The sequence below is a fragment of the Homo sapiens genome, chromosome 9 (assembly GCF_000001405.40).
Source record: "Homo sapiens chromosome 9, GRCh38.p14 Primary Assembly".
NCBI lineage: Eukaryota > Metazoa > Chordata > Mammalia > Primates > Hominidae > Homo > Homo sapiens.
This window is the reverse complement of record NC_000009.12, coordinates 77,790,049-77,814,764: the sequence shown is the minus strand read 5'-3', so window position 1 is coordinate 77,814,764 and position 24,716 is coordinate 77,790,049. Positions and strand designations below refer to the sequence as shown.

Sequence of the window (24,716 nt, the reverse complement as noted above, 5' to 3'; positions counted from 1 at the left end):
AAAATAATCAGTAACCTTATGCCAGTTCATATGATAAAGTGATCCACTGGATGAGAGTGGGCCCTTGGGGAAAATAAGAGGCCCTGATAGGCTGCTTGACATCACTCAAAAGTGCATGGAATATCTAAGAGCTATATGACTCTGTTTTTTCAGTAAAATTGTCATGCTTTTACTCTAATTCTAGGCATTTGTATAAGATATGATTCACATCAGCCACAGAAATGTTGCCTGATCAAACTATTTCTTGTATTCTTATGGTAAATTTGAATTATGCCATTCTGAAATGTGACACAGTGCTCATGAGCACCATTTTTGTAGTATTTAATATTTTAACTAGCATTAACCCCCTTGTGTGCCTCTGAAATGTGTGCTTTCTTCATTCTTCCTTTCATCATCCTTCTTCCATACCTTCATATAGTTCTTCTCATTTCTGGTCTTTCTCTTCTGCTGTCCTGCATGCCTGCCTTCCATTCTGCCATTCTCCCTCCCTCTGTCCTTCGTCCCTTTGTTCCTTCCTCCTGGGCTCCCACTGTATAAGTTTCTGTGAGTACAGAGATGAAAAAGATGCATTCAGCTCTTGCATGTTCTAAATTCTGCCCCCTCAACCTTTGACCAGCTGTCTTTTTTACTCCTGCCCCCTCTGTCCTTCTGTTTCTTTTGCCATTTCAGATTCCATCTATCTCCCCATGTTGCTGCTGTCTCATCCATCATTCCCTGTTCCCATTCATTATGTCTCTCCTGTCTGCTTATTTACCCTCCACCCTCAGTTTTGAATCTCTCTGGCTCTCTCTTAACTCCTCTCTGCTTCTCACTTTGCTACTGTGATGTCTTGCCCTAGCCTTTAAAACTAACTCATCCTCCATTATAAAGTTACATTTACTGATAAATTCTTCACCTTGCATCATTTTTCTTCTAACCTCTATCTTTTAACTTTTAGTTTCAGTCTTATCTCCTCCCCTCCCTACCTGGTCTACTCTTTACCTGTCAACTGTAACTGTTCTCCCTACGGAGAGTCCTGCTACTGGGTAGTCAGAGGCCCCCATTATCTAGTAATTATGTGCTTACTAGGGTTACGTCTCCCCCTTAGGGTTTGCCTCCTCCTCCTGGGATAGACCCTCTGAGAGAGTCCTCTTTGCACCTAGGACACCTGTATTGGACTATGGATATGTTCTTGAGACAAGACTTCATCATATCTCTGATGACATACCCTCAGTTTAGATTTGCAGATTTCTAGACATGGACCCATTAGTTAGTATGAGGATTGGATGCTGCCATATCTAACTTGCTTAGGGCAAGAGCTCTCCCAGACAGTTTCTCTAGACCTGTCAGTGCTGTGATCCTGGGAAAAGCTGCTATCTTAGAGTTCTGTCAGTGCAGGCTTAGTCTGCCATAGAAACGGGCACACTCCTTACGATAAAGCAAGACCAAAACGTGGGGCCCTCTAGCACAGGCTGATCTAAACTCCTTCAAATGATTATTCTTTAAATAGTTCTACATTTCCCTAGTGGGAATGAGGATAAATTGATTTTCTAAATTATATATATGTGGGCCAGGTATGGTGGCTTACGCCTGTAATCCCAGCACTTTGGGAGGCTGAGGTGGGTGGATCACTTGAGGTCAGGAGTTCGAGACCAGCCTGACCAATAGACAGGTGAAACCCTGTCTCTACTAAAAATACCAAAAAAGTAGCCAGGCGTGGTGGGGTGCGCCTGTAGTCCTAGCTACTCAGGAGGCTGAAACAGGAGAATTGGTTGAACCCGGGAGGCAGAGGTTGCGGTGAGCCAAGATCGAGATCAATCATGCCCCTGCACTCCAGCCTGGGTGACAGAGGAAGACTCCATCTCCAAAAAAAAATAAAAAATAAAAATAAATTATTCTTATATATATGTATATATATGTAGACATACGTCACCTAAATCTTTTTTAATCACATTTTATGCTGAAGTAATAAAGTGAATTCTAACAACATGTACTTACATCCTTAGACATCAATATGTATCTTTTTTAAAAAAGTAGGACATTTTCCTACCTAAATAATAATACATTATTATACCTAAAATTAATTAAGTTCTTTTTATCATTCTATACCCAGTTCATATTCAGATTTCCCAAATTCTTCCAAAATGTCCTCTAGAGGTGGTTGATTTCAGGACTTCACATTGCATCTGGTTGTTGTGTCCCATAAGGTTCTTTTAATCTAGTAGAGACCCATTTTGCATTTCACTGGCACATTCAAGAGATTGGCCTAGATTTGCCTGATTGCTTCTCATAGTATGATTTAGCTTGCTCCTGGATCTCATTGATTTACTCTAAACTAGAAGTTACATTTAAAGTCTTTATTAGATTCAAGTTAAACGTTGTGACTAGAATGTATTATAAGTGATGTTGTACACTTGTTTACCCATGGTGGATGAAGGTAAGATTTACCATGGCGTTAGGGTAGTGGCACCCTCCATTATAAAGTTGTATTTTACTTGTCTCTTGTTGTGTTAGTTTGTCATTGAGCAGTCTCTAGTTCTTCATCAGCTCTTCCTCTGATAGTTTTATTTCCAACTGATAATTTTTGCCAGATTTAATAATTCCATTGGGATTTGTAAAATAATTATTTTCCTCTTTTATCAGTTGGTCTACATTGGCATTCTTCTGCATAGAAGATTTTATCTCTTCAGCTATTTGATTAATCATCTGAACCAGGACACATTGAGAAAGAGGAGGCTGTATTAATAATTATGGTGAAACAGCGACTCTCCAGGACAGGCAGGGACCTGTCACCTTTGGTCACCTTAGCTAAGTGAAACTGAGGGAGGGAGGTTTGTTTCCTTCATTTTTTGTAGAATACTCTCTTTACTTCAAAGGGAGTAGAATCAGTTTATTCCTGCCAGTTATGTAAGGGGTTGTGTGTATAAACCAGAGTTAACTGGACCCACATTTCAGGTCTCCTCCAGGGATGTTTTGGCACCACCTATACATCAGTGCCCAAGCAGCCTGCCTGGCTTGCCTTAATCCCACTGTGCCAGGAGGCCCGAGTGTTACTTACTTTATTCTTCACCGTCTTAGTAGTGAGCACTTTACATTTTCCTTAGCCAGGTAAACCTCTCAACAGAAATAGGACCTGGGCATCATAGAGTCACTCATTTGCTGCTGTGTTCCACATGTTTCTCCAGTGTAATCACTGCAGATGCTCCAGGAACTGGCAAATACGACAGCACTGGCAAAGATGTAGGTCCCATATGTTAAACATCGCTGATTTCCCAGTACTAAAAATCATGTTCACAAATAACTCAGAATAATTCCTTTCTCTGTGTTTGAGATAATTGTTAGCCCTTTTCCTTTCTGACTTTTTTGTGTATATTCCCCTAGTGCATCTTCAGTATGTTATATTGCCTCCTTTTTTTCATATCTTTATATTTTTATATCTTTATATATAATATATCTTTATAAAGATATCTTCATATCTTTATAATTGTTCCTATCTTTATAATTGAAACATACTTCATTGTTATTCTGGACCTAATTTCTTATTCATTATCACCTTACAGAAATATTCATCTTACAGAAATATTTCTGAGCTTAGGACCAACTTCTTTTGGTGCTGCCTGTCTCTAGTGGTAGGTCTTCAGAGTAGATTTAGGGAATACTTAACATCTACATTTCTGGTATTAGGAGAATCTCCCTGCCACACACACCTACTTAAAGGTTGTAGTGTAGTAGCAGTTCTCTCCACAACTCTAGTGGTTGTGAGATTCAGTGCAAGCGACTTAAAAAAATACTGGGAGCAGAGGCCAAGCATGCCTGTCTTCTTTTCTCTCTGATGAACTCCTATTCATCCTTTAAGACCCGACTCAAGAGTCACCCTTTCTGAAAGCCTTGCCCAACACCAGTAACAGTAAGTCACTATGTCTTCTATCTTAACACTGTGTACATATCTCTTTTATTTCCGTCATCACATTTACTACAGTGCCTCTCCCCTCTACCCTCTGTTCCTGACAGCAGTGCTCATGTTTGACTTTCACAAGTGATTGTTTCATGAAATAATAGAAGTGATTGTTTCACGAAATAATAGATGGGTAATTTCTACTATTTTAATGACCATGGTATAAGCACCAGTCTCTCTTTGGCTGTTAAATATTATGAAGCTTTAGAGCCGAAGGCATTCAAGTCTTTTTTCCTGCTGTTGTTGAAGGTCTGGGATATGAAAAGCCTTATCAAAGACAATAATAGCTGCTATTTACTGAATATTTAATATATGTTAGATTCTGTGCTTGGTCATTTACATGTGTTATTTCATTTAATCCTCAAAGTCACCTACAATGGTACATAGTTATTAGCATCCCCGTCTAACATAAGAGGAAACTAGGATTCAGACTGAATAATTTGTTCAAGGCCACATACTTAGTAAGTGAATGGAGGAGGAGTTGAATTCAAATTTGCTTATTCCAGAGCCCAAGCTTTTAACCACTGAAATACAGCCTCACACAGGATGGATGGATGCATGACAGATAGATAGATAGATAGATAGATAGATAGATAGATAGATAGATAGATAGATAGATAGATGATTGACAGTTTTTAGATAAGATAGATGGATAGATAGGTAGATAGATGAATCAGTAGATAAATACCTATGATTAGGTGTTTTATAAATCACTTACCATGAAGAACAAATTATTAATCTTTACCAACATTGTCTACAGACAGTTTCATATTTATAAAGTCAAGAAGGAAAATTATATAAAATTGACTGGAAAACAAACCCAATAGGTTTTTGGTTATCATTATGAAAACTTAGCCATGTTTAGCTAAGCAGCAATTATCCATACTAACATGAAAGATGTTCTAAGTTACAGATAATTCAGGAATGTTATTTCTTTGTTTTAACCTACAGTCTTTATCTCTCAACCCCTCTCCCCCAAAATCCAGACAATCACTTTTTACTGGAACCAGTAAGAAGGACACCATAAAATGATTTGAGCTTCCCTTCTACTTTGATTAGCCAACTTGCCTATCATAGTAAGTAATCAGATGACTCAAAGGACAGGCAGCAATGATAGAACCACAGAGGTAGGAAATTCCAGATAATGGATAAGCAGTTGTGGATACATTTGCAATTGGCCTTAATTTGGTGAATTCTTCCAATTCTATTTAATGAAAGAATAAAAAGCATTCTAAGATCCTAGGGAGTTGTGTAGATTACTTTATTAACTTTTTCGTTATTGATAAAAAGCCTGAAGGCTCTGAAAATGATTAAAGAGCACAAAAAACAGATGGTTGTAGGTTCACTTTTTTTCCCCTAGATTTCACCACCTGCTTTAATATACTGAGAAATCAGGTCAAATGAGTTCACTGCCTACAGTACCAAAAGCTCCCTGACATTAGCCAGAAGACACAAGTCTCAATCACATTGGCGTATAGTGAGAAAAGGCCTCATCTGCAGGCTTTGGCTAGTCTACTGTAGCTGTGTTTGCCTTAAGAGACCAAATAATTTCTAATCTTACTTCACCGAATTCCCCTCCAGGGAGCTGGGTAAATCAGACACCTTCTTGAAATTTCCACATGATCCGGAGCCCGTAAAGAACATGAGTAGATTGGCTTTTTGGCATAAGTCAACATTGGAGTTTGACTTTCTAAACGCATGCTTACATTTTTTGAGTCTGATGATGAACTAGCACCAATATATTATGTGCCATGTTGAATTTAACAAAAGGCATTTCAGAGATAGGGTAACACATCCAGCTAACTTAGGGCCAGTCCTTCTTGAAGAGGAAGTACCTTGCTAAGAAGTTGCTGACTGATGAGTCAAATACTTGTACTCCAGGGTATATTGGTTTGGCCATTGTATCCATCCTCACTTTCCTCTGATAGTTTTTTTTGTTTTGTTTTGTTTTGTTTTGTTTTTTTTAAGTTTAAGCCTACTCCAGGCTTTTGAAGGCAGATAAGACCGTTGTATGGTGAAAATATTAGGTCAAGGTCCAGCTGGAATTCCCTCTGCTACTCACTACCTCGGGGGCATTGACTAAGCGTCACTTTCCTCAGACATAGATTATATGTGATACATAATCCTTAAATTCTCCTCCTAAATTCTGAAGTCCTTTGATTCTGTTGGAGTTGACTCCCTTTATCTGAGAAGTCATTATCCTATGCAGTCAAATGAAAACCTGGCACCTTAAAATTTACCTGGAAATGTAATGAACAGAGAAATTATTCTCTACATGATTAAATTACTAAAAATGCTATCTTTAACCAGCTCAGAAGAGGACATTGATCTTGCATATGTTTGCTCTTCTTCAGAGTGTCAATAATAACACAAAGTGTCATTCTTTTCACTTGAGTGACATATTTAATTCTCTTCCTGTTTTGTTATCTAGTGGGCCACATTTTCCAATCTTTGGTAAAACAACAAACAAAAAGCCCTGCATTTGTCTTCCTCGGTGAATGCTGATGATTCTAAGATGTGGTCTTTATTATTCCCCTTTCAGAAAGCTCTTAAAGATAAAAAGATAAGGCTTAGGTATGCTTAACTCTACTCTAACCTTCATTACAGAGAAGGAACAGGAAAAAGGGCTGGGTTTAGCCCCAGTTTATCATTTTTTCACTCTGCCTAAAGGGCAGGGTGGATGTGGGCAAGTCAGTTTGCTGTTTGCTCACATTTTATCAGGACGTTTATTTGGACTTTGAGTAGTTTGGCCTCTTCTTTGTAGGCCTTTCCACAGTCTTTACTCAGGATGATGATGTGCCTAGCTAAAGCCTATTACCGTAGAACAGGGATTAGCAAACCTGCAGGCCAAATTTGGCCTGCTGCCTATTTTTATAAATAAAGTTTGGTTGGAACATAGCCATGTTCGTTTGTTTATGTATTGTGTATAGCTGCTTTGGACCCAACGGGAGAGTCAGATAGTTGTAACAGAGATCATATGGTCCAAAAGTCCTAAAATATTTATATTTACTATCTGATTTTCATTCTCACACACACACAAATTCAAACCCCTCTTAGAGGTGAAGAATAACTATTAAAACACAGTAGCATTCTGCTTATGCTATTTAGATAAAACCTAGTTTAAGACTCTGATGCTCTGAATTAACCCAGAGATATCTTTTAGAGTACTGAGTGAAGCAATGGCCTGCATTCCTTCAGCAGTCCTCTAGAGATACTGCTTTGCACAATGAAACGTTTGGTAGGAAGTGAGCAACAGAAAGTTCTAGATCATATTTCCTGGACGTACCACTAAATGCCACACAAAGAATGTCTGGCATAAAAATGGCATGAATGACCAGAAATGTTCATTGAGTTGATTTGGCTTCTGAGTGCAAGGATTATGTGTCATGTGAGCTTGACTCATAGTGTCTGGTATGGTATGGTAGTATGTTGCAGCTGATGAGAGGGTTTCATAGGATTTAGCAATCAATTGAAGCAGAGATAGGAGTGACAGTCTTTTGTAAGAGGGCTAATAGAACATGCACATGATTATAAGACAACCCCATCCCACTTCCAGTCACAGGAGAGCCAAAGAATCTTGCTGTCTTTATGTAACCCATAAGGTCATTCAGCACCTTTTTTGACTCCCCACTTCCCAAGAAGCCTTGCTGACTCTGGTATTCTTGAGTTCATTATCAGGTTAAAGTCTTTTCAGTTGAAAATAATGAATTGAATTTTGATTTATAATTAGTTTACGTTAACTCATGTTAGCATGACCAGCTCTCCAGACCTGATCATCCTTGTCAAAATGAAAGTTCTAATCTCACAGAAGCAATATCCAAATTAAGGTGACATAACTGACATGACCATGGGAGACCCACTTAAATCAGTATGACCTATTTATTGCTCATTGCTCTTGGCTGCAATCACTGGAAGCTCTCTTTTGACCCATATTACATCTGCATTGTATTACGGTTATTTATAACACGTTTTTCTTCATTGCCAGACTATAATCTCCTTGAGGACATGATTTGTGTCCTTTTTTCTTTGTAGTTCACGCTCAGCCTAAGCCTAGTGCCTAGCTTACTGTAGACTTTCCGTAAAAGTTGTTGAATGAATGAGTGATAGAGGAAAAAGGAAGTTCTGTACCTTTCCTAATTTCTTCTCATCTGTCATCTGTCCTATTCTGCCTGTTCAAATCCCATTCTGTCTGCACAGAGTAACCCATCCCCACCTCTACTGCACACTATTCTCCAGTGACTACAGTTCATAATCATCTCTCCCTTCCTATTGCATTCATCATTAGCAGCTCACAATCTGGCACTTAATTGTTTCTTAATTGATTCATCGGTGCTCTCTTTGCTTCACAGGTAGCCTGAAATCCCTAAAGGCAAAGAAGGTATTTTAACATATATTGTGCCAGTTCTCTGTGCCAATCTCCCTCCATCTAACACACTGCATTAGAAATTAATGTATAACAGATTCCCAATAAATATGTGTAAATTAACTGAATTAAGCATCGCCATCCAGTTTCAAGGCAGGCAGACCAGAATTAAAAAGTAATCTTCAGCTATTTCTTGATATGTTTTAGAATTGTGTCAAAATTAACCAATAGCTTGGAAAGTTATCATATATAAAAGATGAATAAATTAACAAAGCCAAATAGGCAAATTGAAAAAGACTTCCTTCTTTCTTTTCTCTCTTTCTCTCTCATTGCTATTGTTGTTTTGTTTTCGTTTTCAATTACAAAGTTGATTTATTTTTTGGAGCACTACACCTGAGAATCTATTGCTGTGAGCCCAGCCCTGGCATCTGTCTGGCAGACACTTAGTTGCCTGGCCCTTTTCCTATTTGGCACTAGTGCTCTCTTTATGTCAGACTTTCAGATTCATAAGATAATGAAACTATTTACCAAATGCAGTGATAGAATCTTTTTAGGAGATATTTAATTTAGTTTTAAAAATCTTTTCTAGATTGGGTTAGTTCTTTGGTAGAGGGAAATTGAAATGCATAATTTCGAAGCCTTCTCTTTTATCCTCCAGAATAGTCTCCCTTGAACAGCATTCATAAATGGTAGGATTATAACCCACCTGCTACCGAGTGATCTTTGTTTTGAACCTGCCACTTTGTATTAAAAGCAAACTTTTTGGCCGGGTGCGGTGGCTCATGCCTGTAATCCCAGCACTTTGGGAGGCTGAGGTTGGCAGATGACGAGGTCAGGAGTTCGAGACCAGCCTGACCAACAAGGTGAAACCCCATCTCTACTAAAAATACAAAAAATTAGCCAGGCCTGGTGCTGCGCGCATGTAATCCCAGCTACTCGGGAGGCTGAGGCAGGAGAATCGCTTGAACCCAGGAGGCAGAGGTTGCAGTGAGCCAAGATCATGCCATTGCACTCCAGCCTGGGCGACAGAGCGAGACTCCATCTCAAAAAAAAAAGAAAAAAAGTAAGCTTCTTATGAACAAAATGCCTGTTAATAAATGCTGCACATCCTTGAACTCTAACACGTATGTCAGGTATCAAAAAGGAAAAAGGAAAGTTGATTTGCTCTCTGCAAAATGAGCTTTTTAGGAGATGGAAGTGTTTGTGGAGTGAGCAATCTTGTGCCACTAACCATCCTAACCAGATTACCAGCCAGGCTCCTGTCAGCCACAGGATTTGCCAGATGAGGAAGGGACTAGAGTAGGTTATGCTACCAAAACCTCTCCTTGACTCTCCCCTCAAGATACCAGTTTTGCAGAACTGTTACTTCTTCATTTGTTTTTGCAGGTCACTTTACAATTTTTTTTTCACTTTTTTCCTTTGGACTTTTGTGGTCATATAGCAACTGCACGATAACTGTGTGTTTCTGATTTCTCTTTAGCTTCCAGTGCTTTTGATAGTGTCAGACACCGTCTCATGGCATGATCTAGCTTTCAACTCCCCAAAGACTGTTCCTCTCACAATGAGGTCTTCTTAATTTTTTTAAATGAAGTCGACCTCGTTTTTCTAACCTTCTTTTCAATAATTAAAAATGTGAAGACCTACCCAGAATCATTTTCTGTGCCATAACTTCATCTTAATATTTGACGTGAACTGCAAATTTGTTATAAATGCAGCCTCTCTATAGGAGGCCCTTACATAGGGGTCAAAGAGCTCCCCAACCTCCAACACACACCCCGTGTCATGCTACATTGAAAGCCCCAAGATGCGATTTCATTTATCCTATTGTGTCTGGTTGGATTTGCATGAAATTTCAGAGATTTCTGTTCCTACTTAACTATCCACAGGTACTTTTTGCCTTTTGGTGTGATTACTGAGGGTTGTATGCCTCTAACTTTAATATATGTATTTAGAGTCAGGGTCTTACTGTGTTGCCCAAGCTGGAGTGCAGTGGTTACACCCTGAAACTCCTGGGTTCAAGCAATCTTTCTGCCTCACAGCCTTCCAAGTAGCTGGGACTGTAGGCACATGCCGCCACACCTGGCTTATAAAATTTATTAACCCTAGCTATAATGTGATATGTTTTACCTGCCAGCTCATATCTCTAAATTTTAATTTTTTGTTTCCTTCATTTAAGAGAAAACAAAGCACTTGAATTTTTAATTTCTGTGCTATTCTTGGTCTAGATTTCAGTTACTCTTCCAGTCATAGGTGGGGGGAGGGGTGGTTCTTTTTAATCTTAAAAAGAGACTTTTAAAAATCAGTTTGCATTCATGTCAAATGGGAGCATAAATTAATTTGAAGGTCACCTCAAAACTGTTATTGATAAAGTGTCAAAATTAAGGAACAATTGGAATCTCTTTTTAAAACATAAGAGAGAAAGTGTTGTATGTAATATTGATTTGGGCATATTATTTTAGAGAAGTTGAAGCTTCTGTCATATATTTTAATCATTTAAAGTAGTGGATTATGTCCTGTTTCTGAATTTATTTTTCTTCAGCCAGAGATTATCCTGACATTCAGCGTGTAAAGAATTTATCTGTTACAAGGTGTAAACTAATGGGCATGATTTCTGTTAAGTCTTTCATGCAGTGCAGCCATACTACACAGAAGAATGTTTTGAGGATTATCACCAAGGGCTAGAGATTGTTCGAACAGGTTCCCAGAAAGTGACTGTATCCAAAATATACAAAGGTTCATTTCATCTCTATAAATCTCACCATTCTTGTTTTTATGTAACCCTTATTTCCCCACAAATTGATAAACTCCTTGCAGGTAAGGATCATATCCAATGAATCTTCCTATCTGTAGCATCTACCATAATGTCATGGCCAAAATATGTTGTTTAATTCCAGATGACTCTGCATTTTGCTTATGGTCAGAAAGGAATCACTGAAACATTAATATGCAAGTGTCTGTGTTCCCTCACTTTTCACAGAAAACCATCAAAAACCTTTTTTCCATCAAGAAGATTGTGTCAGAAATGTCTTGTTGATAAAGTCCCACCTCCTCAGTTTGCACTGTGTTAGACAGAATGCTAAGGCCTGAAAGCTTGAAACAGGTATAAAATGGACATAAACATTTTGTCATTCTCTAGCCAGGACCTAAAGAATAGCAGGAAGCAAATCTACTAAATGAAGTTAAACAAATAATGCTTTCTCTTTCTGTGTTGTCTTTGTCAGAGACATTTTTATTCAGAACTTGGTTATTACATGATGCAGGCCAGTAATAGCCGAGAGAAGTAATTTCGTAAGGATGGATAGCTAACAACCTCCCCTCTCCTGTGTTTTTGCCTTTCTAACCACTACAGCACTTCCCATAAAATAGTTTTAATTTGGGTCCATGCTGAGCACCTGCTGTGCTCCAGGCCCTTGGCTAAGTGTTGTTGATATAGCCGTGGACAAAGGCACTTGTGGGCCCTGACCACCGAGTGTGAGGGCCATAGCTAACTGGGCAAACATGTGGAAGAATATTGAGCTCGGGGTTTCTTTTTTTAAAAAAAATTATAAATTAATAATTTATAATGTCTCAGCACAGTGAAAAGTCATTAAATCCCCATGGAGGGATTGGAGTAAGGTGGGTTTAAGCAGCTAAATCTCCCATTTTCTAACATGAATAGCTTGTCTCCTAGACACTTAACAAGCCTTATGTAAAACATGGGAGCTTCCTCTCCCTGACATCAGGAGAGAGTCACTACCAGATACTTGTTACACATACATTGCCTTGGAAATGTACCTGTGCCTGGCACCATGGCAACACCCTTGAGAATGACCTCAACAGCCACTCAGAATCATTCCTACAAAACAAATTATGGCTATAATTAACTCTGAATTTACAGTATAAATTTGTTCAGACCTCGGTGTGGTTTTTTTTTTAAAAGGTCGAATGAATGGAATAATTTAACATGAACCTGTCCCTCATATTCCACCAATTTTTTTTTTAGAATAGAAAATGCTTCAATGGAAAGTACAATTCAGTTAAGAGATTATTTTATTACCTTTTCTCAGTATGTGACGAGGACCATCAAATGATGATGTTCTACTCTTACCATGCTAGAACTCCATTTCTAGGGGAACAAAGTTCCCTTTTTCCCTGGCAGATGTGAAATACAGAGTGTGCTGAATCCCTCCTCTGAGTCCTGTGAGCCCAGAGTGAGGGGGGTTGCATGGGATTGGGGGTTATGCGGGCAGCAGCTCTTTGATCCCTTCTTGGCAATGAAAAATGCAGGGTTTTTTTGTTTTTTGTTTTGTTTTTGTTTTTTTGAGACAGAGTCTCACTCTGTTGCCCAGGCTGGAGTGCAGTGGTGCAATGGTGGCTCACTGCAACCTCTACCTGCCAGGTTCAAGCGATTCTCATGCCTAAGCCTCCGATGTAGCTGACATTTCAGGTATGCATCACCACACCCAGTTAATTTTTGTATTTTTAGTAGAGATGGGGTTTCACCATGTTGTCCAGGCTGGTCTCAAACTCCTGGCCTCAAGTGATCTGGGCTTCCCAAAGTGCTAGGATTATAGGTGTGAGCCACTGCGCCCAGCCAAAAATGTCGTTCGTGGTCTATAAATTTTACCTGCTTCACAAATTGTCTGTAACATATCTTCAATCCTGGGTAGCTTCCCAGATTTTACTCTAGGAGCAAATAGTTTGTATGTCTTTTGTTTAGTTGGAGGTTTTGTTGTTTTTCTTTGCCTTGTTTTGGGTTTTTGTTTGGTTTGGTTTTTGGTTCTAGATGATGTATGTTGGAACTAGCAGAGCTAGATACAGTTCCTCTTAGTCTTGTCTTTTGTTAAGCTAGATTAATTTAACTCTTTCACCCCAAGCAAAGTGAGCCTTTCTCTCTATTATTCAACTGAGGCAAAGCAAAAAGAATGGCAAGCAAAAACTGCAGCTTCCTTTTAAGTTAACCAGAAATTTATGAAGCGTCTTTAATGGCCATTTCATTGCTGTGAACTGTGTTGATACCTGGGCAATGAACAGACAGAACAGAGCCTGGCAGGCATCAGGTGCTCAGTGTTATTTGTTGTTATGCTGTTGTTGTCATTCTCTGTGATCTATACTGCCATTGAAAAGATGAAGAGGAAAAAGTATTCTTGCAAGTATGAGTGTCTTGGATATTCATTTCAGTACCCTGAACTTAGGAGTGATACCACTGACAATTTTTTTAGGGTATCCTCTAACCCCTTGTAAGTGGAAAGTTTTCTAGTGGCAGGTATGTGCCTGATTCCATCTTATCCAAGCAATGTGACAGGTAATTTCCCACTTCATGTGCTGGTTCTTTAAATTCTCCTGTGCTAACACTCATCTGTGCTTTACTATGGAGTGGCAATGAGTAATCTGTTAGGTTCATCTCCAGAAAACAGAAAACCACACTTTCCCTTTACCTCAGGAACACCACAGCACCTTCCATTACAAGAATTAACAGCCCTCTGTTCTGACCTCTGTGTACGGCATTAAGCGAGTAGAGATGGTTTATCAGGCAATATATTTCTGAGCAGCCTTGCCAGTGGAAATTTAAAGTTATTTGATTCCTCTGAAATAAGTTTTTGTATACAGTAGTTAAATGGTGAACTTGTGGATTTCGAAATGTACATTCAGGTTTTTCAAATCAAGAAGCTGATAAATTAGAAAACCCCATCCATACAGAGTAGCTATCTGATTTTTGTTGTTGTTGTTTTGAATTACTTGATTTATTTATTTTTTCTTTTTTAAATTTATTTATTATTATACTTTAAGTTTTAGGGTACATGTGCACAATGTGCAGGTTAGTTACATATGTATACATGTGCCATGCTGGTGCGCTGCACCCACTAACTCGTCATCTAGCATTAGGTGTATCTCCCAATGCTATCCCTCCCCCCACAGCAGTCCCCAGAGTGTGATGTTCCCCTTCCTGTGTCCATGTGTTCTCATTGTTGAATTCCCACCTATGAGTGAGAATATGCGGTGTTTGGTTTTTTGTTCTTGCGATAGTTTACTGAGAATGATGATTTCCAATTTCATCCATGTCCCTACAAAGGACATGAACTCATCATTTTTTATGGGTGCATAGTATTCCATGGTGTATATGTGCCACATTTTCTTAATCCAGTCTATCATTGTTGGACATTTGGGTTGGTTCCAAGTCTTCGCTATTGTGAATAATGCCGCAATAAACATACGTGTGCATGTGTCTTTATAGCAGCATGATTTATAGTCCTTTGGGTATATACCCAGTAATGGGATGGCTGGGTCAAATGGTATTTCTAGTTCTAGATCCCTGAGGAATCGCCACACTGACTTCCACAATGGTTGAACTAGTTTACAGTCCCACCAACAGTGTAAAAGTGTTCCTATTTTTTATTTATGATGTGATGAGCTGGTTTATCAGTAGAGTGAAATACAGATCCCTTCCCAGAACATGGGCTCGTCTAACTCTTATCAGAGGACTCCGTGATCATGGCAAGATATTTACTAAAATTCTGGGTCTAGTCCATTTTTACGTTTCCTTTCTGTGTTTCACACCAGTATTCTCCCAGCCTCCCTCTATTTGTCTTCCAGCCAGTTTTATAATAATTGGAGCTATCAGGCTGGTTCCTGTTACTCAACAGAGAGCTGATTGCCAGCTAGAGAATCATCAATGTATCAGGGATAAGGCCCCTGGAATACTAATTAATTGATATGCAATAGGAATTTCTGGGCTGATACTTTTTTTGTCTTAAAGAATTGATAACACACCTCCAAAGAAGCAGTAATTTTATTTCTTTGTTAAAGTCAGACTTAACTCTTTGTTAAACTCAGATTTAATCCTCCTACTTTATGATTCCAGGAATCTTGTAGATTTAACATTTTTTTTACATTCAGTTTCAAATTTAAGGGTATCATTCATACAGAAATACCACTGGTAAGAATGCTATTTAAATAATGCTAAAACTAAATCTCAGCATAGGAAATCCATCAATCCATCCAACACATATTCATTAAGTTCTATTTGTCTGGCATTCTTTTAGGTACTAAGGCAGAAATAAAGATGAGTGTGTCAGAGTCCCTACCCTGGGTAGGTCATGTCCACTGAGTATTTGTTATTGTTCAATTATAACATGCTATGCACAAGGCATTCCTTGTTATGTATCTTAGAACTCACCTCTTGTTTGTGGGTATACAGAGTTGAAGATCTAACCCCTTCCATTTCTATTAAGGGTCCCACCTTTTCTTTAATCTGGCTCATAAGTTAGTTACTTTGTGCATATACTTTGTAGTTGTGTGTTTTGAAGCCATGTCTGTGCCCCATCCTTTCCAGGACAAAGGAGAACACAGTTACTCTTTGAAATCATGAAGATACCACTCAATTCTATCATATTATGTCATTCTCAACATTTCAGATTATTTTTTACACTTTGAGAAAATGAAACATGAATGGAATAAAAGATTCTTGACATGGCAGAATTACATTGATGAAGAACATATGTGTGACTGCCAGGGATAACACAGGTAGTGATAGAACAATTCTGTGTCCTGATTGTGGTGTTATTACACAAATCTCTACATATAAAATCTCATAGAACTAGATACCCCCCCATAATACAGTCAGCCCTCTGTATCTATGGGTTCTGCATTTGTGAACTCAACAACTTATGGATCAAAAATATTCAGAGAAAAATTGTATCTTTACTGAACATGTACAGACTTTTCTTGTCATTATTCCCTACACACTACAGTATAACAGCTATTCACATAGCATTTACATTGTTAAGTAACCTAGGGTTGATTTAAACTATAGGAGAGGACTATGCATACATTATATGCAAATACTGTTCCATTTTATATGGAGGACTTGAGCATCCAGGGATTTTGGTATGTGCAGGAGGTCCTGGATCCAGTCGCTCACAGATACTGAGGGATGACTGTATACATACATACAATATATAGCATATGAGTATATAACAACGGATAAAATTCAGTAAGGTCTGTAGTTTTGTTAATAGTATTTGTGTCAGTGTCATTTCCCTGGTTTTGATCATGTACTATGATTATGTAAGATGTTATTGTTTGGGGAAGCTGGGTAAAGGGTACAGGGAAATGTTCTGTAATATTTTTGCAACTTCTTGTGAGTCTAAAGTTATTTCAAAAGAAAAATTCTTTTAAGGGAAGGGAAAAGTATCAAGTATCATATAACTAGATAAATATAAAGTTAAGGTGTGGTGACTCCAAACATTGGGAATATCTGACCTTAGACACATTATTACTGCAGTAACTAGAAATGTCATGGCTTCACATTAATCATGAATGACTTAGGCTCTGGACAGAATTTAGGACACTGTAGCCTGCTGTCTTCTCTTAGGAGAATAGTGAAATTCATTCCAGGAAGACTCTGATGTTCTGCAAAAAAGAGAAAAAAGAAAAAGAAAAAAAAGGCATTCTGACCTTATGTGCAACTCTCTGTTGTCTTAAACACTATTTGTTTTAAACTCCTGCTTTGACAACCAAACCTACTAAACAAGTAGAGAATAGGAAACTAATTTGAATTTCTTTTTCTCCCACCCCTTGCCTCTGGGGAGTATGAGTTCTAATTGATAATAAGAGAAGAAATGAGAACTATGGTGTGTATGTAATCCATAGATGGATAACCTTCCAGTAATGGAAGGTTGACTTTATCTTTCTTTTCCACAGACTCCTCTACCACTTTCTGATATTTTTCTTTCTCTTCTTTACTTCTCTGTTAGGACTCATTTTTGTCCTTCCCTTTCCGTAGACAGCTTTGGTGTGATGGTGTCACTGACATTCTCATTGTGTCTTCCCTCCTCTAGCTATCTTAATGACTTGGACCGCGTAGCTGACCCTGCCTACCTGCCTACGCAACAAGATGTGCTTAGAGTTCGAGTCCCCACCACAGGGATCATCGAATACCCCTTTGACTTACAAAGTGTCATTTTCAGGTAGTAACTGAGTCCATGAAACCTATTTCCCAGCTTTTATGCCTTGAGTACATTTGGTAAACTCTATAAATACTGGAATCATGTGTAGGCTTCAAAACAAGATAGGCTTTATACCAATTATTATCATTAGTTATACAAATAAAATGACATATCCCTGAGGGAGGAAATAACAGAAAGATGTACTGGAGGCCGGGCGCGGTGGCTCACGCCTGTTATCCCAGCACTTTGGGAGGATAAGGTGGATGGATTACCTGAAGTCAGGAGTTTGAGAACAGCCAGGCCAACATGGTGAAACCCCTTCTTTACTAAAAATACAAAAATTAGCCGGGCATGCTGGCGGGCACCTGTAATCCCAGCTGCTTGGGAGGCTGAGGTGAGAGAATCACTTGAACCCAGGAGGCGAAGGTTGCAATGAGACGAGATTGCGCCACTGCACTCCAGCCTGGGTTACGAAGCGAGACTCCATCTCAAAAAAAAACAAAAGAGAGAGATGTACTTGTACTAGAACATTTGGCATTTCAATTTAAATCACTAAGAAATCAATAAAATCTTAGTTTTGCTTGTGGTTGAGTAAAATCGGTTAGTAAACCATTGGTCTTAACTGTAATTTTTTGGGCAATCATTTTAACTGTAAGGACAATGGATATGTTTTTAGAATTATGTAAGCTATGAATGATCATATGATGCTGTCAATCACAGAAATTAAGTAGTGTCAGAAGTTTTCATGCTGGTGTTTTCCCCACGTCCTCTGGTACCAATGCAAAATTTTTCAGTAGCAAGAAAAATATGTGATGTTTTGTATTCATAAAATATGTTGCTTGAAAAATTTTGAAATACATGATTTTGAAAATGGGTTAATTAACCTAGTCTGTATTTACCTAGCAAAATAGAATGAAAATTTATTACCTCATCTCTCACTGCTGGTGTTCTGTCTGGATAATACTTCAGCAGAAGCATTCTGTTGTTTTGTTTTTAGGATGAGAAAAAATAAACAATACTGATGTACTTTCATTCAATCTCTTATTATGCAATCACTCAGTTGTACTTTTAGTTAGAATACAAACTACATGGTGCTTTGAGAAATGAGAATGTGTCTTGGAGTGTGGAGAGTTGATTTTCTAGGAGCGCCCACCCCATTGAAGATGGATGTGTGCAATATTGGTTATGAAGCAGAAGTTATTATCTCCTGTGTCACTCTGCCAAGTGATTCTGATTAGCAGGCCCACCTTCATTCCTTGCCGTGACACTGTGTTTTCTTCTAATCGGCCTCTGTACCTGAGGTCAAATCTGGCTGCCATACATTGTTCTAATAGATATTGCCACAAAGTAGGTGGCATTTTGAAACTATTTCTGAGCCTCAGTTTTTTAATCTATAAAATGGTTGTATTGCATTAGATGATCCTCAGGGTTCCTTGTAGCTCCAGCATTCTATATTACTTACGTTTTAAGTCTATGGTATTTAGAAATCTTTAATTTGAGACACCCAGATTTCCTTCCTCCATGTTACAAAATATTTTTAGAAAACATAGCATTTCATGGGGATTTTCATCTCCTTATTGCTTCGCAATTAGTGGATTCTGAAACCAGATTACAATTACATGTTGTTTTTTCCACGTTTTGTACACTGGCTTTTGAAGTACATTTTTTGCCACTACAGTAAAAGTAATGACTTAGAAGTATAATTTTCCACCACCATCAGAAGCATCTTTTACGGCCCAGTGTGACAGAGTTTCATGGAATGAGGATTTCACGTAAATTAGTAGCGTATTATTCACACCTTGGCATTAGGGAAGAGCCAGCATTTTAATACTTCCGAAGATCTAAGAATTCTGGCTTTGATGTCCATAGTACGTGGATCTCCCTGAATGCATTGTTTTGCCCCTTAGATCTCTCTCCTGTGCCTTACTAGGCTTACGAGTAGTGACTTAGAAGATCTTAGTTCTTGTTTAGGTTTAATGTCAGGAGGCAGGAAAACACCAGGAGCAACTGCAATTTTAAACAAATGTTTAAAGAGCCCTACTTTCAAATTTTTGTACCTAAACCGCTCATTCTCTGAGACTATTTTTTTCCTGTGAACATTGTATACATTTCATTCAAGATACGGATTCAACAATTTGGAGAAACTTTGACTCAGTGCCAAGCATTGCTAGATATTTTCAGACATACATTGTCACTCAAATTAATTGATGTCAGTGTTGGTTTCTGAGCAGTAATTCAGCACAGAATTGATGTGTTAAAAACAAATGATTGAAATGGTTCACATGATGGCCTCCGTCTTGTACCTTGTAGTATCTTCATTCACTCACACTTTATTTCAAGTAAGTGACCTGACATGACTGGACCTGTGCCAAATTCTTATCAATATTGGGAAGAAAAAAATGCCCAACATGCCGACCCTGCTGATAAAGGATGAGTGGGGTCGTATCTGCATTTAGTGGAAGCATCATACCACCCATATTGAATTGTATAGCATCTCACATATTTTAAGTATACTTGTAGTCATATCTAGCATCCATAAGAAATACATGAGGATCTTTTTTCCGATTTTATAGGAAAAGAAACTGAAGTTCAGTATTTGCCAGTAGGGCTTAACACAAAACTCATTCAGTTTTGGACTCTTCAGCGCTTCATTAAATAAAATACCATTTTGCTTGGCACAGATAAGGATGTTTTTTACAGTGTTACAGTTTTCGTACACACTGGTAACTTTCTTAAAACCATCATGATGTGTTACCCAGAATGTTTTAACTTTGAATATTAGGTAATAAGAAATTAGTAATTATTCAATAAGTATTAATTGAATTGACTTGGATGATCATCGTCATTCAAGAGAATATTTTCCCTAAGTTTGTAAGTAGTGCTATATTTATGTTGACTTTTTAGTTTTACTTTATATGTTATTAATATGAGTATTGTTAACCTTGCAGAATGGTCGATGTAGGGGGCCAAAGGTCAGAGAGAAGAAAATGGATACACTGCTTTGAAAATGTCACCTCTATCATGTTTCTAGTAGCGCTTAGTGAATATGATCAAGTTCTCGTGGAGTCAGACAATGAGGTAAGTGTTCTTTAGACAGGCAATGGATTATCATTTTATTATCTGATACAAGTAAATGATAGAAAGTAGGGTGTGGGGAATGGAGTGAACTTACTTCTTTGCTTTCTTGAAATTTGATTTTAGGACTTTTAAAATAACCAAAAATAATCCTGTGGTAAGCTCTTCTGTCAGATGTGTGAGCAGGTCTTTGTGTTCAAATCTAATTAGAGCCTATTTGATACTTTTTAACACTATGCAGAGGTTCTGAAAATGAAAATAACATGGAAATCCTAGGCTAATCATCAGATCATTTTATAGTCTTCCTCCTACAGGATAGAACTGGGAGTGTTGGAGTGAGTCATCCTGTTTTGTTTTGTTTTCATTTTGTTTAAATCATTGTTTGTGTGATGGGTGTGTCCCAAAGAGTACTCAAAATCTCTCTTGGCAAATGTGAATGACTTCGCAGCTGGGCTCTAAATCAGTTCATTATGAACCATGGAATATCTTGGTGATGCGGCCTTTCTGCTCTTATAGAATTCTCTAGGCTGTTGCATAATTTTGTCTCTATTAAGCAGTGAGCAGTTGAAGAAGTATCCTTAATATGCCTGTCTGGAGAACAATTTCAGTATTGTTATCTCCTCCCTGTTACAGGGAAACTTAATAGGTGTAAATGTGGATTTTCAGGATGGTAAAGACCTGACGATGAATCGATTATGGAATATATTAAGGGATGTAGAAATCTGTACTTCTGAGCTGTAGTTGTGTGCATGTGTATGTGTGTGTTGGGGGAACGGGGAAGACACCATTGATATCCTGTTAGAGGCAGAGATTGCAGTGTGGTAGGTTAATAATAAATATTAAATATCCCAATAATAGGGTAGCAAAAAAGAAGGAAGTGAGAGATCCCCGTTTGCTGACTAAAATAGGATCTAGCATATTATGCTTTTAATACAGTACATTTTTTAGGTACACAAGAATTCCTGACTGGTTCTTTTAAATATTTTTCTGCCAGTATTAATATCTCCATTAAAATACATATCCAAGCTCCTATAGTATTTCTTTTATGTATAGGATTGATAAAGTTTCCGTGAACCAATGTCTATATAGAACCGAGAGTCACCTGTTCATGCATTTCGGAATCATTCCTGAGTTACAAGTATATTGGCTTTGGAGTTAACCAAATAACTTCTGTTTAAGAATGAGGCTTGTTTATCAATCAGTTGCCCCCAATAACTCTAAAGCAAAGTGCCTAAAAGCATGCTACAATATATGACAGTAAGTTACCAAGATACAAGGCAGTTACTGTCAGAATTTTAGCTATGATATCTTTATCTGTATATCTTTATGTCTGTGCTTGTTTGTTACATAATCCCTGGATGTAGTATTTTAAACATACTGCATATTTTGGGAGCAGATCTATTCTAACACTTCTGATTTTTTTGAATGTTGTGTCAAGACAAAAAAATATTTTGAGGGCTTCCCTACTATATGCTGGGTACCAGAGTATCTAAAAAGACACAAAAATGGGGAAAAAAATCAACTCTGCCCTAGAAGACCTTATAAACAAGATATGCTTTTGGTCAGAATAAGCCATAGGGGGAAAGGTAAGCCTTTGTTATGTAGGTTGTCATTTCTCTTCTTTAATTTGCCATCCAGTAAAATAAAATTTGCATTTATCAATTACACAAGAGATGTAAGAAGCAAATGTGAATTTATTTCTGATGTTTACATTATAGCTAGAGGAGGACAAGTGTTTATCAATACACATTTTCCACAAGATAAATGCATTATATATATATGAAGAAGTATATGTCATGATGTAATACTTATCAATTTACCACTTCAAAATTATCAAAATAGAAAAGAAAGTAGAATCCTTTGGCAACTCATCAGCTAATTCAGTTCAACCGAATTGAATCTGGTTCTTCAGTTATCTGAACATTACAGATCATTTATTCCATTTTTCCTCAGACATAGCTAATAGTGACTAGATTTTTATATAAAAGTATATTATGTTAATTAGAATAAAATGGCATCGTTTTTATTATCATGTGTCATAATTAAAGTTCCCACAGTAACTTGACATTCAATGTACAGGTACTAAGAACGTCTAAAAATATTGTCCCAGTTCCTTTGATTCCTGTGGTGATGTCTTATGCTACTTTTAAATAATTACAAATTAAAATAATAAAGCTATCATTTTTTCATTAGGACTCCCTAATCACTTGTGAATCTTTTGAAAGTCTAGGTAATTCTATAAGATGAAAGTCAACTTGTACGGTGTTCCTTTCTGAGACCTCTAGTCAAGCCTGATGATAGTATGGGATCATGAGAAAAGTGCTGTTCATTAATTCCTTCATCCATATTAGCCACAGCTATCACTGTCTGTAATTAGGAAGTACTGTCAAAAAAATATTTTTTAATGTTGGGATGTAGTCTCATTACCCCTTTTTTTCCCCAGTTGTACTAATGTATGATAATGTCATTGCCTCTCAGCTTCCTTAATCATTAAGAAAATTCAGAACTACAGAATTCTAGTTTCCCCAGATTTTTTGGTTTTGGTGAGACAAAACTGAAATAAACTCCAGAAACATTTTGTTCTTGGTTTAGAAGTCTGATGTTCATAACTTTAATCCAAAGCAGACTTTGTTGTGCCTCCCTCCCTTGGTATATATTTGTGAGAAAAACCTAGGAATGGATTCTGACAGCTTTTCTTTCTATCCCAGGAAACTGTGGAAAATGCATTGCAGACCACAGACAAAAGCAGCTAAGGGAAGCATTTTAGATTATTGCTTTTGCTTTTTAATATTTCTAAAACCTTATAAATCTTCATAATTTTATGTAGGTCTGCTTTTGTCTGCCTAGATTCTCAGCCTTTCTATTGTTTGGGGAATGAATTTCTTTTTTCCTTCAAAGAAGGAAATACATTATCAAATAGTGGCTAGAATACCCAGGGTGGTAGAGCTGTGTTGATTTGCGTATTCCCTTTACTGTCTTATTGATGTGTGTATTCCCTTTGCTGTCTTATTTTCCCTGTGATAACACACCAGCATGGAATCCACTATTCTGCTGTAATCCTTTCATGGGTATGTTATTTCAGTGCTCCTGAAAGCCCAAAGCACACAATAAGACATGCTTATAACATATTTTAGTTTATCAGTGTGTATCCAAACACTGCCTTTTAATCTTTATTTTTCTGATTTTCTGTTTCATGAATATCTGAGCACTACTACAAAGATGTTTTCTCAGACATTGTCTCAATGACTGTCTTCCAGGCTAAGCTCTTTATAGAATCTCAAAGACTGAGACCTTTTTCTCCTCCATGTCCTCTTTGAATGTGAGCTTTGAATTTATTAATCATCTTGAAATGGTCATGAGGAATTATGTTATCATTTTATTAAAACGTCAAGATAGTTCTCCCTACCCTAGGCCCTCCTTGATCAAGGTGGATTCCCTGACCTTGGTTTCCATAAACATGTATTCATCCTTCAAACCTGATTTTTGAAGTTGCTCAATTGATAAAAGGAAAGCATAGACGTTTATAATACCTTAGCACTTTATACCCAAAACTTGCTGAAGCTGCTACTCATCAGAATCTACCAGCTGACCTCACCGTGGCGGGGACAGATCAGGTTTGCTGGTGTGCGTCATAACGATGAGGTTACAGGAATGAAGAGATGAAGGCCTGTGGCCAAGGTCACTGAAGGCCAGGTCCCCTGCCCTTCCAGACCAGCTTTCTTTCCCTTCCCTCATAGTGTCTTCTAGATGTTAGAGACAAACTTAAAGAAAAAGCAAGAGGAGCTATAAGGCAGCAAAGAGGGTGGAAGTAGAATGAAAATCCTGCCCTTTCATGAAGGAGTTGAAATAACTCTCCTCTACCTCTAAGCTCTTCTTACACCAATTGGTAGTAGTAGACCAGCCAGAGATCCTTTACCAGTCATTTAGAGTTCCTGTATTGCTCATTTGATTTTGAACTATCTTTAAACAATTAGTCTAAAATATGCATTTCCTTTGGATCCGTCTCTTCTGGTAGGTTTTAAAATGAAGCCATTTTGAAGTTACTCAGCTGCAATCAAAATTTGAACATTTTCTTTAAAAGTGTGAAACATGTACTTTGTTCTGCTCTAAAAATTGTTGAGTGAGCTTTTGGGAATTTTCTTCAGATAACATTCAGCTTTGCGGGGAAAACCTGACTAAAAATTGAGGAGAAAAAAACTCAAATCGCAAAGGAAAGACCTAAAGAACATTTATAAGTAGTTAAAAGTAAAAGCTTAGGTTAAGATATCTGGTCTCTGATCGTTAATTGAATTGAATCAAGCCCGCCTTTATCGAATCTTAATCAAATTAGGCCTTTGGTACACTTGGCTTGGATTCATGACCTGATTCATAAGGCTATTCCTGAAAGATGCCTAGCATTTTAATATTTAACCTCTTT

General features: G+C 37.7%; 1 protein-coding gene across 3 annotated transcripts in view; it reads left to right on the top strand.

The window, feature by feature from the left end:
• GNAQ (G protein subunit alpha q) overlaps window positions 1–24,716 on the top strand; it is a 315,715-nt gene that overhangs the window by 217,047 nt on the left and 73,952 nt on the right. For all 3 annotated transcript variants that reach the window (NM_002072.5, XM_047423239.1, XM_047423240.1), the window contains exons 4-5: window positions 17,117–17,245; window positions 20,173–20,302. In NM_002072.5, the coding sequence (NP_002063.2) occupies window positions 17,117–17,245; window positions 20,173–20,302 (259 nt within the window). The remainder of the gene's footprint in view (window positions 1–17,116; window positions 17,246–20,172; window positions 20,303–24,716) is intronic.